This window comes from Homo sapiens, chromosome 9 (genome assembly GCF_000001405.40).
Source record: "Homo sapiens chromosome 9, GRCh38.p14 Primary Assembly".
Lineage (NCBI taxonomy): Eukaryota > Metazoa > Chordata > Mammalia > Primates > Hominidae > Homo > Homo sapiens.
Window position 1 is genome coordinate 18,939,784 of NC_000009.12, and position 12,393 is coordinate 18,952,176.

Genomic DNA, 12,393 nt, shown 5'->3' on the forward strand with positions numbered 1-12,393 from the left:
ATAATGATTTTATCGTTTGATAAAATGATATGATTAGACAAAATAATGATTTTATCAAATGATTATCTGAGGAGTTTTATACAAAGGAGTGGTCAGATCAGATTGCCATGTATAGAAGACTGCTCTGCTCCCTTTCTGTGGAAAATGAGTAAAAGCTGACAAGACTGGAGATATGCTCAGGTGTGTGCCCAGGTGTAGACATGGGGAAAACAGGATTAGGGCTTTGCTAGGAGGAAACAGCAAAAGGGCTGAAGAGAGAGGGACTCTCGGCTATCAGTAGGAGCTGGGCTCCAAAGATAGGCCATGAAGTAGAGACTCCATGGGGAGGGACAGACACAGGAGCGGCTGGTGGTAAGAGGGAGGATTAAGACGTCAATGGACTGGAGGTCCCAAAAAGGCCAAGGACTGTCGTGGTGGGAGGAGATAAGAGGACAAGCCCAGAGGACAGGATGCCGATGTGCACAAAGACTTCAGAGGTGGGGCCATTTCAGGGTATGATAACATTCAGAATATTAGTCAGTTCTTGTACTGCTGATAAAAGGTGGCTTGACCAAAGGTAGCTATCTATGGGGGAGTGTTAGAGGAAGAAGCTAAAGAAAATAAAAGGGCAGAGCCCAGGTTGCTGAAGAGGCCCACGCCAATCCAGTCTTCAGTTCCTGGAAGAATCAGAGAAACTCAACTAAGCACAGGGTCCTCCAGGATGACAGAATTAGAGGCCCTTCTAGGAGCTCACATCCCTCCAACCTCCCTACCTCCACCACCCTCTTCACCCTAAATGCTTGGCTTGACTAAATAAAAGTGGCCCTCTCTATTCACAGCATTTAGAGGTCCGTGAACTGTTCAGCTTGTCCTCCTAGGGCAAGGCAAAGGTTGGTATCATAAGCATGAGTTATTGATTACAAACCTGGTCTCCAGTCTCATGGTCTCAGTCTTTGCAGCTGAGCTCCATAGAGTGGCTGTCTGCTAGCAAAACACATATGACCACGTATCTTGTCTCTCCACTAGGCTAGAAAGTCAAGGGCAGGCCATTATGCTTCCTTCAGTTTCTAGGACCACACCTCATAGGTAATATCAATAGATACTCAATAAAGAAAGAAGCAATCCTATTTATATAAAGTTCAAAACTGGCGAAACTAATTTAAAGTATTAAAGGTTAAAATAATGGTTATATTCTCATTGGGGAGGGTAACAGAAATGGAGTAGTAATGTTTTATCTCTTGATCTGGGTACTGTTTATATGGATTTGTTCAGTGCAAATTTATTGATCTCTATAATTATAATTTGTATACTTTTCCATATGTATGTTACATTTTGATATATTTTTTAAACATGTGAATGAATCAATCACTTAATCAGTGGTAGAAACTAACTTAGCCTGAACTTGAAATGCTTCCCCCAATATAGGATTCAAACTGCAAGCTAAGGCAGGGGTTGGCAGATATTTTGTATAAGAGCCAGGTATTAAGTGTCTTATGCCTCACAGACTGTAGTGTCTCTGTCAACAACTACTCAACTTTGCTACTATGCTAAAAAAAAAAGTAGCCATCGATACTGCGTAAATGAATGAATATGGCTGCGTTCCAATAAAACATGAACACTGAATTTTCAATTTTATATCATTTTCACAGTCCTCAAATTATATCCTTTTGATTTGTTTTTCAATTATTAAAAAAAAATGCTTAACTCTTCTTAGCTCTCCAGCTATACAAAAACAGGCTGCTGGCCAGATCTGGCCCGTAGGAAGTAGTCTGCCAACTCTTGCACTAACTGAGTATGCACATAAAACACATTTCCTGGCCCGCACACAGGCTCAGCCTGTCTTTCCCCCAATCTGCCCCTCTGTGCTCTCCCACCTTTATAAGTAGGCAAACACTCCATCTTGTCGCTACATGGATATTTACTGTCCCGAGGTTTGATGGGGTCCACTCGACAGACAGGGTAGGGATTGTAATCTTTCTTATACGTCGTGAGCAAATCCATATTCTCTTCACTCGGGACGAACTGGTCATACTGGTGGACCTTCACTGGTGCCACTTTGTGAGGCCCAAAATCTCTCCTGTAAGGAAGCAAGTGCATGCTGTTGGGGTCCTTGGCTTGCGATAAGGCTTATGTTTTCTGCTCAACCCAACTCTACAAACATTTGCTGAGAAGTCCTGTTCTACTCTACCTGCCTTCCCTCCTCCCCCGAACTGTTTCTCCTCTATTTCCCACTTTTGAGAAGGGTACCATCAATTCCTTCTCACCCAACTCAGACACCTGTATTCATCTTTGACCTCCTTTCCTCACGGCCCCAGAGTCTATCACCACCAGTGCCCCTCCACCTCATTGGTTTTTCTTTCCCCTTGGTCCAGATCCTGACAATTTCTCACTAACAGCCTGCCACCTGAGCTTCCTCCTTCATTCCTACCACTTCTATTCAATCACCATAATGTGGCCAGAATAAACTCTCTAAATGGAAATCAGATGGCTTTCCCCAGTTTAAAACTCTTCCAGGTAAAATTCAACTTCCTGGCATAATTTATAAGCCTTTCTGGACCTGGCTCCTGCCTGACTCACCCTTGTCTCTCACGATCCCCACCCCACCTGAAAACCCTGCACTCCAACCACAATGCCACCGTTTCTACTGCTGCGCTCTCCACCTTCCTTCCACCCAACCCCTTCACTGCGGAGGTATCTTCCTTTCAGGTGCCGCTGCCACCTTCTCTGTGTTCCCAAAAGCTTCTCCTGCTAATGTTTATCTCTTTCCTCTACTTAGCCTACAGAAAACCCAGAAGAGGAAAACAGTGAAATAACTGGAAACCCTGACTCCTTCATTTCTCTGCTATCTGGTGTCTGCGCCCCCATTGTTTCAGGGAGTACCAAAACAATAGGATCGAAAAAGTATAATGGTCTTCACTAAACAGGAAGCAGTCCCTCCCCAAAGCATCCCAGATAAAAAGGCCCAGATGCTCACTGCAATGCCCACCAGGAACCGCCCTAAGGAGCCAGGGCTTAGCTCGGACTTGTGTTGCCCTCCAGGGCACTCGCAACTTCCCACCTCTCAATGCTAACATTTCCCTCTGAAGGGTGTCTGTTTTACACAACAAACTGTTTTTGCCTGGAACCCATTTATTCAACTGGACAAAGGGAAGGTAGATTTTTCCTGATGGTGCTTGCCAGAACATCCCTGTCAAGGGAAGGGGAAGGTTTCCGGACAGGAAAACGTTAGGCCCAAACACCAATAAAACCCACTTCCTGGCCAAAATCTGGAGCAGCATTACTCAGCCATGCTTGACTAGCAAAGGTAACACGCTCCACTGTAACCTGTCTTGCGTGAATTATACACATGATTGTCAGTAAACCCGAACCGGGTCCTGAAAATGCTTAGTGGGATGGGAGAAGGAAGTTAGGAAGCAGGAGAATTAGTCTCTCTAGGGCTCTAAGGAGGAAATGGGAGATGCTTCAGTTGAACTCCCCTAACACCCTCTGGGTAGATTTAAAAATATATCTTAGCGGCAGTTATAGGACATTCAGCCTGGGCTCCCTTCCTAGGGGCCCTGCTGTTAGCCTGAAGTGTCTGGAAGCTGACTGTACATATCGGGGCTTATGGAGGGAATGGACTGAACAAGCAGCCAAGGGTCAGCTCCTACTTCTGCTGTTCTCAGTGAGCAAGTACTACACCCTGGTGTCTATTCAGCACTAAACCAATTGTAGCAGGGAACTAAGAGGGTAAGTCCTTAGGCTACAAAGACAAATGAAAATGCCCAGAAAACTCCATCTGAAAACCAGCTGAGTGGAAAGGGACTCTTGGTCAGAAAGTGTACATTCTAAAGGGAGTGCTCCCAAGGGAAGTTGAGCTCTCCTCACTCTCAGAAGGGATGGACAGGTTTCAAGGCAGCCTGAGACCACACATTCCTAAACCCTTATAAAAGCCTGTGCTCAGTGATGGCTACCTAAGCCTACACCCTATTCATTTCCAAGGAGTATCAGGAGGTACCAAGGGCATGCAGTGAGGAACAAAGCTGGGCGCCTGAGCTGCCGTGCTGAGCCCACCCAACCTCAGAGCATCTAGGGATGCTTTCCAGTTGTGAGGCTGCCACTCTCAGGGACCCTGCACACAGAGTCCATAGCAGCCTCTTCTGCAGTTACTCTGACCAAGAGGACCAGCTTCCTCTCAGGGATGCCGCAGAAACCTCCCTTCAAAGGCTGCCAGACTCTTGAAAACTAAAGCACGCTTATTGCGCATCTCCCACGGCTTCTACCGGAAAAGAGCAGACAAAAGCCCAAAACCAAATTCACCAGTTCACAGACTATTCTGAAATTGGTTTCCCAAAGACAAAAGCCAATCGCCTTTTCCAGTATAAAATTTAAGTTCCTTTGTAAGTGTTCCTCTATGGTTTAATTTATTGATCAGCCATAACTAAGGCAAATGATTATGGGGGGTGGGGGGAAGCGGTATCTACTTCTGAAGAGAAGAAAAATTTTAAAGTTTGACTTTTTTATAACCTACCCAAACATAGTTACTGTGGCTTAGGAGTGAATTTAATCAGAATTTATGTGTTTCCTCATTATGTTTTTATGTTGAGAACATTCACTGAAACCTGTCATTAACCGCAACATAACTGCATGTCCCCAATCACACATAATCTTACAGCCTTTAAATTCACGTAAAAGAAAAGTCTATATTTTAGTCTCCCCAGAATTGCTCCAATTAACTAGCTTTTCTTTTTAAGAACACTGGATCTCCCCTCTCTTTCTGTGGTACATTTCCCAGTCTCTGTGCACATGTGACATGAACCAAGAAAAAGAAACTGGTCAGAGAAGTAAGTTTCTTTTAGGTAAGTAGCTATAAAAGTTATAGAGTAGGGAAGGCCAAGAGTTAAACTCAGAGTTAAGTAAAAAGTTGGAGTGGTCCTGCTGGGGAAGTCATAACAACTTGACTTCAAATCATTTAGCAAAGCTGAAGAAAGGTGTTTGACAACTCTCTGACAAAAGGAAAGAGGAAATAACGTAACAGTGAGCTAGGGTCCTGAGCCTGGCAGTGGGAAATGAAGATTTTCACCATGACAAAGGGCCATGCAACACTTTTTTTAAACCTGTTTTTAATGTTTATTTATGCAAACTTGAAGATATATTAGTGTGTCCAAGTAATCAATTATATTAAAATGGAATCCATCTTAAAAGGAGTTCCTCCTCTTGGCCAAAGCCAACCTCTCTCACCCCTGCCCTCTTTCTCGGGAATCTCATCTGCAGACCATCTCCTAGGCCATGCTTTTCTCTCTTCCTCCCTACTGCCTCCTTTCTCCATTGAGTGTTACCTCCCATCTTTAAAGGTAAAGAGTAAAACAAGACACTATCCTCACTGAGCTCCATTCTCCTCCAGTTTTCCCTTCTGTCTTCCAGAAAGTGTTGTCTACAAGTACAGACTTGCCTTCCTCTCCTCATGTCCCACCCATCAGATCTGATTCCCCTCACTCCTGGATACTCCAAGCATCACCTTGTTTTCCAGACCCAACCGCTGCTTCTCAACCTTATCCCACTGTGGTTGTTCATAGCATCCATCCTCTCACTCAATTTTTCAATACTCTCTCCCTTGACTTCCGTGATACCACTCCTCATGATCTTTTCTCCATGTCTTCTATGGGGTTCTGCTCTTTGTCAGTTGATTTGATTGACTTTGTCACTTCTATATGCTATTCTCAAACTTCCCAATGTCAAAAGGCACCCTTCTAGAGAAACTATTCTCCCATCCTAGGCAGCTTGGGGAGTCCATCCCATTGTGCTGCAAAAGATCCTTGGCTGAATCACAGGGTTTGATTCATGCCCCTGGTCCTTATGGGACACAGAGTCCTCCTTACCTTCACTATAACAGATGGGATTCCAAGCCCATGCACTCCAGAATCCAAGTTACATAGCACCTGTCTTCTCCTCTGCCCTCTGAGTCCCTCAACTCCCACTAAGGCTGAGGCAAATATCTGTCACCACTTCATATAAACCCTAGGCAAACTATTTCAAATGACTTTAAAGCTCTAAAAAGGTAGATTCTGGGGAGAGCCAACAGGTGGAAGCAGAAAATGGCACTGTGTGAGGCTTCATTGCTTAATTTTCCATTAACTATTTAAGATTCAAAGCTTCCAGCCTGAAGGTCAGCTCCAGTCTGTGCAAGGGAGGGCAGCTAAAAGGCAGATCTTTTAGGTAATCACCTTTTCTTGACTACAAAAACCAGAAGGCTGGCCGGGCACGGTGGCCCATGCTTGTAATCCCAGCACTTTGGGAGGCCAAGGCAGGCGGATCACCAGATGTCAGGAGTATGAGACCAGCCTGACCAACATGGAGAAACCCCATCTCTACTAAAAATACAAAATTAGCTGGATGTGGTGGGACACACCTGTAATCCTAACTACTCGGGAGGCTGAGGCAGGAGAATCGCTTGAACTCGGGAGGAGGAAGTTGCGGTGAGCCGAGATCGTGCCACTGCTCTCCAGCCTGGGCAACAAGAGCAAAACTTCATCTCACCAAAAAAAAAAAAAAAAAAAAAAAAAAGAGGACCAAGTTTGAAGCAACCACGGATGCTGCAAAATGAGGAAAGAAACCTGGAAATGAGAGAGTCAAAGACAGGAAGCCCTAAATTCTGTACATAAACTGGGCCCAAATCTCTGCATAACCTCACATATATGGGGTAGATTCCAAGCTAAAGAACTGAAGTGAGATTTGAGCGGCCACCCAAGACACAGAGTTTGCATTGTAAATCAAATCAGGTTACCTGCCTGCCAAAGATAAAAACACTTTTTAGAGGAATGCAAACAAACATCTAAGGTGTCCACAATGTAGCAACATTCTCACTGTACAAAAATCAACCCAAAATCTGACCCATGCTCAAAAAAGAAAAAAAAAAGATAATTATGGAGACCAACTCCAAGCAGACCAGACATTGGAATTAGCAGATAAGGATTTTAAAGTAGCTTTTTAAACCATGCTCATTAAGGAAAGCAAAGTAAGGCCATAATGAATTAAAGGATAGGAAATTAGGTAAAATAAATAGAAACTATATAAAACAAGAATCAAATGCAAATTCTGAAACTGCAAAATATGTGAAGTAGAACATTCACTGGATGGCCTTAATCACAAAATGGAGATAAGGGAGAAAAACTTGAAGTTGAAACTAGGTTAATAGAAACTATCCAATCTGAAGAACAGAGGACGGGGAGAAAAGATTGGGGAAAAGAAGTGAACAGAGCATCCGTGAAAGAAAAATTACTTGAAGAAATAATGGCCAAAATGTCTACAAATTTACTCAGAAATACAGTATAGACAATTCAAAGGCTCTGAGATTGCCCAAGCAAGTCCAGTGCCGAGAACTCTACCTACATTGTGTTCACACTAATTCTCAGGCCCAGGCTATGGAGGCTAAGTATATGCCCAGTGGTACAGCTCTGAGTAAGAGAGTCAGGTGTCTCTTTGAACAAAAAATATATATATAAAATTCAATGGGCAGTGCAAGACTCAAGCCTGCTACTAACTCTCTTGTTTCTTTCCTGACCTTTGGGGAGGATACTAAATGCCCTTTCTCTCTTAGCTCTTCCCTCCCTTACTCTCCTTGGTTTACCAAGGAGTCTTGCAAATAAGTGATAGAGTCGATGCTACCAATTCCCTGCCGTCTGCCTTTCAGCCACACCCATCAAGTCTGAACTCAATTCTATCTCCTCACTCTGTGCCTCCATTCCACTCTACCCATGGTCCCACTCCCTTTAGGATAAACGTCTAACACCATTGAAGACTCACCTCTTTCTTCTGATGCTGCTCATTTTGCCCATCTTTAGCGAGCTGGTTTAGCTAACAGAATGTCTCAAATTGGGATCCAAGTGTTTTACATGGTGACATGCCTATGGGGAAATGAGGCTGGAAGTGCAAACCTCTTATTCATAAATTGATCTCAGGTCTATCTGAAGTAAAGGCAGATTCTACACCAGAGAATTACCAAGGGCTGCAAGAAAGAGTTTCACACTAAGAATGGCTGGAAATCACAAGCATTCCCCTCATGGCACCTGCTGTAAATCCCCAAGATTTATGGTCAGTAAGAGTTGTGTGCAGTTATAATCATGCCTCACGCTGGGATGATAACCTTTCCAGAAACCAGGTGTTTTTTTGTGTCTGGGCTTAATCACCAAACCCAGCAAAGCCCTGGACCACGTGACTTTTTCATTCAGCAGGTGGGAGCCTCATGTCCAACCTCAGAAACTAAGCAGGGTCACTGTTTAGATAAAGAAGTGGGTGGGATGTTCCAGTAATAAGAGTGCTAAGAGCAGAGGGGTGACGACAATCTGCACAGACACAAGGGTGTGCAGACACTGGGCTGTGCAGACACTGGGCTGACGCATCCCTTCCCCTGTAAGCCTCTAGGGGAACACCCAGATGGTAGCTTCCCTACATTTCCTGACAGTGGCATAATTTTGTTCTCGGTCTATGAACAGTAGTGCCTATCATGGCAGGCACAGGGTTGAGAAATAATGAAATTGTGGTAGAAAAGAGAACACAGATGTCTTCTACTCATTTCCCCTTTACTTCTCTTTTTAGGGTAGGAAATAAAAAGAGATTCATATCTGCTCCTTTTCCTCCCTGTGGACAACCTTGATCCTGCCACTTTTTCTTTTTAAGGCCCTTATGTTCATTAACAGCTTATTTTGGAAATTCTTGCAGAATCTGCTTTCCTCTACTTTAGCCACATTTGATGTACATGGTATTTATTGTTACTCTGACTCCGGCAGGGGCAGAGGGGCCTTCTGGGTGATATGTTTATTGTTTTAAGTGACACAAGGCAAGGATAATTTAGGACAGGTCAGAGGGTAAGTTTTTGTTTAGCGAAGCACCATCAGGAGGAGGGAGGGTACCTGGAGTTGCATCTGGGGGCCTCAGAGCTAGGTGTTGGGGCAGGTCTTCCGCCCCAGACCAAGGGTTTGTCCCCATTCTCCTAAGCTTTGGGCAGCTAACAAAGCAACCTGCAACAACCAACCTTCAAAGCATCCCTGTCTATACTTTCAGGATAGGAAATATATCAGTGTCTGAAGCCAACTAGACATCTCACAAAGTCTTCTTCATTTCCTGCAAATTGGATATAAAGAGATAAAAAGACCCACACCTGGAGACCGAACAAGATATTTGCAAGCCACCCCTCAGTACTACTCTCACCCTTTCCTACCGATTACATGTCCCTTATACATGTGCCTAGGACTCTTACTTGGTGTTGACCAGGGTTTCCTAAAACAAAAGCAATGCTCAGAAATGGTTCACACTTCTTATTATGGTCTTTAGACTCTCAGAGACAAAGAATACTGTTTTCCCAGCAAAATGAAGCCCAAACTTTAGTGTTCATATTGTTTAATAAGTCATAGGTTGAAAAAACAGCAGCATAAACTACAATGTTTTAATACATCAGGACACACAAACACTGCACTTAAACCAAATCATTTAAGATACATGCTTAGAATAAATATAATCATCTGGCCTTAGCAATATAGCAAAACCTTGTCTCTACAAAAAGTTTAAAAATTAGTTGGGCATGGTGGTCCATGCCTGTAGTCCCAGCTACTAGGAGACTGAGGGGCAAGGATCACTTGAGCCCAGAAATTCGAGGCTGCACTGAGCGATGATCACACCATTGCACTCCAGCCATGGCTACAGAAGGAAACCTTGTTTTAAAAAAAAAATTTTTTTTAAGTGGCCTGATTCAAGTCAAGCATCAGACAAGGCCCTCAACTCCCTCTCATTCTCAAGCCCCTGTCCAGTGGTTTCCACTAAGCTCAGGAATCCTTTGGCCTCATTTCTCCCATTGTGGGTGCTCCTGCCCCATTACCCAGACTGGACTTCCCGTGGATCTAGAAGATGGCAGCATTGTGTAGAGAAGAGCACCTCCAACTCACAGTCTCAGATGTTTCCAGTCCTATTCTGGAGAAAACCTGAAGGCAGAATGAATTAGAATGGTTCTGCTTCACCTAGACCATCTGGGACCTTTACTAGCACAAAATCATGAAGCAAAAGGGAGCAATAGGAAGAAAAGTCACCAGGTCTGAGGCACCGATGTGCAAGCATTGTGCTGGAACAGTCAACATTCACCATCATCTCCACCTCACAGCAACCCTGCCCTTTAGGGATGAGGAACCGGGAAGGCAGAGAACACATCAATCTTTCAGGGCTCAGCTAAGGACAAAACTATACAATCTGAGACTGCCCAACTGCACTCAAAGATGTTTCCACTCTACTAGATCACCAGTCACAGGTCACTAACTGAGTTGTCCATGGCAGATTCTGCAAGAGCCTTGCTTATAGACCAACCCTGAACTGATAACTTTTCTGCACCCCCTCAGTAGAAACACCTCTGCAACGCTAATATACTGAACCATGTGGCTCAGCCTCTGCACAGACCTAGAGCTAAACAATCTTAGTTTGGGAGTCAAGAATAATTTAAAAGCAAAACATTATTTGTTCATCTTTCTTGAAGAACATTCAGGAGAACCCCAATTCAAAATTTACAGCAGCATAATTTTAAGGGGAGAAAAAAAAGCTCATTTTTTCTCTATTGCCAAGTTCCCTTTCACCACCACCACCACCATCCCCCACCTACCCAAGCTGGCCTGGAGCTTTTCATGTAACAAAGCCCAAAACTTGCTTTTCAGCAACATCCCCCACTCTTTCCATCCCTTAAATATTTTTCTTAACCTCCAATCCTATATTATATAGATTAATCCAGCCTTTCCCCACCCTTTACTTCAGCAAGCAAGAATCCTTTCTCTTTAACAGAGAATTTGGAAAAAACTGAGAAGGCTCATAAATGCAGGATATTCCTTCAGAGATATAGTACATTAAGGCATTAATATCATATGTTGATACTGCACATTAATGCATTAGCACTGCACATTACATTAATATTATACATTAGCACTGCATGTTACTCCATTAGTGTTGTATGTACCTGCATACATTAATACTGTTTGCCCTCACCTTGATGTAGTCAGGCCTTCCATTGGTATAGGCCCTTTCTGGTACTCCCGCCTTGGCTTGAAGGACTCTCTGGGCAGGTAGGAGTGATAGAAAGGGTAGTTCTCGGTATATTCGGAGAGAAGACATGGTTTCTCTGTTTTATCATAAATCTTGGTAGGGAGATGTGGACAGTGATGCCGCCTATAAAAGACACAGAGTTAGGTTGATTACCTTCTTGGGAGAAAAAAACCCAATTTCCTAAGAGTACTTCCGCCAAATGTGACTCAGACTGTAAAATCATGTGACTGCCAACATTGAAAACCAGAATTCAACGGTTACTTTTTTCCACTAAACTACGTGAAGTGGCCAGAATATAAAGGTGGTCTGTAACTACAATTGGTTAATAAAAATTCCTTGGATCAGAGAATTACACACAAGCTGTCACACATGCCACATTGCTTGTGTAAGCAGGGAAATATTTCCATACCATAATAGAGAAATGGCTGTGTCCCCAAGCTCTCCGAGTGCCACCCAGCTGCCCCAGGTCCTCCCCTGAGGTCTCACAACAGCCCAGGAATTCAGGGCTTACTACTGACCTAACAGGGTGCTCCAAGGCTCTCCAATAGGGCCAGCCAGTGTCTTTTGTAACTGGTTAGCTCCTGGGTCAACTCGGAATATCATCACTGTACACAAATGACATCATTCAAAGCAAAATCACCTTAGTTCTGAGTCCACCAGACACCACTGACTATGTGAAACCACTTTCACATTGAAAGTCTCCCTCATTTATTCTTTCAGGTCTCACCTCAGTTATTACAGCCTTAGAAAGACTTCCGCCAATCATCTTATACCCAGGATCCACCTCGCCGTCGTATCCCCTCTCCCCACTACTCTTCCCTGTGTGTGCACATATTTTCTCCCATCACCCTGTGTATGCCTGTCCCATCACTTATAGCTACCTGTGACTGGCATGTCTGTTGGCAAGTTTGTTTATTGTCTGTCTCATCTGTCAAGCTCAGGGCCTTTATCAACCTTGTTCACTGCTACACTGTACGTGTACACTGTACATTTTTCAACCTTGTCCACTGTTCATCGTACATGATGTACATCTCTATATATCATATCCTAAATTTTTCATTCAGTAAATGTTTACTGCATACTGGCACATTCGGTAAATATTTATTGAATGAAAGACTGAGTGTATACGTGAATAATTAAATAAACTTTATACCTAGTGATGAATGAATTGAACAAATGATAAATAGTATTTAGCAGTTAAAATTTATAGTGAGCTTTTCCATTTTACTTGCATGGTAGTAAATGAAACTTACTTATTTACTTACTACTTACAGCTGGACTGAGTCAGCTATTAAAGCTGTCAAAAACTAAGTGAAGGCATTTTATCAATTTTGTGTGTGCCCACAATCTTCACAATCCAGC

At 43.5% G+C, this 12,393-nt stretch overlaps 1 protein-coding gene across 10 annotated transcripts in view; it reads right to left on the minus strand.

Moving 5' to 3' along the window:
- The window catches only part of SAXO1 (stabilizer of axonemal microtubules 1), a 121,690-nt gene that overhangs the window by 12,134 nt on the left and 97,163 nt on the right, over positions 1-12,393 (minus strand). For 8 of the 10 annotated variants that reach the window (NM_001287049.2, XM_024447428.2, XM_011517745.3 and 5 more), the window contains 2 exons: positions 10,975-11,154; positions 1,854-2,056 (listed from right to left, as the gene is read on the minus strand). In NM_001287049.2, coding sequence (NP_001273978.1) covers positions 1,854-2,056; positions 10,975-10,997 — 226 coding nt within the window. In that variant the 5' untranslated portion in view covers positions 10,998-11,154. Of the gene's footprint in view, positions 1-1,853; positions 2,057-7,761; positions 7,925-10,974; positions 11,155-12,393 lie in introns of those variants that run through there. The other 2 variants (XM_011517747.3, NM_001287050.2) reach the window with 2 other exon arrangements.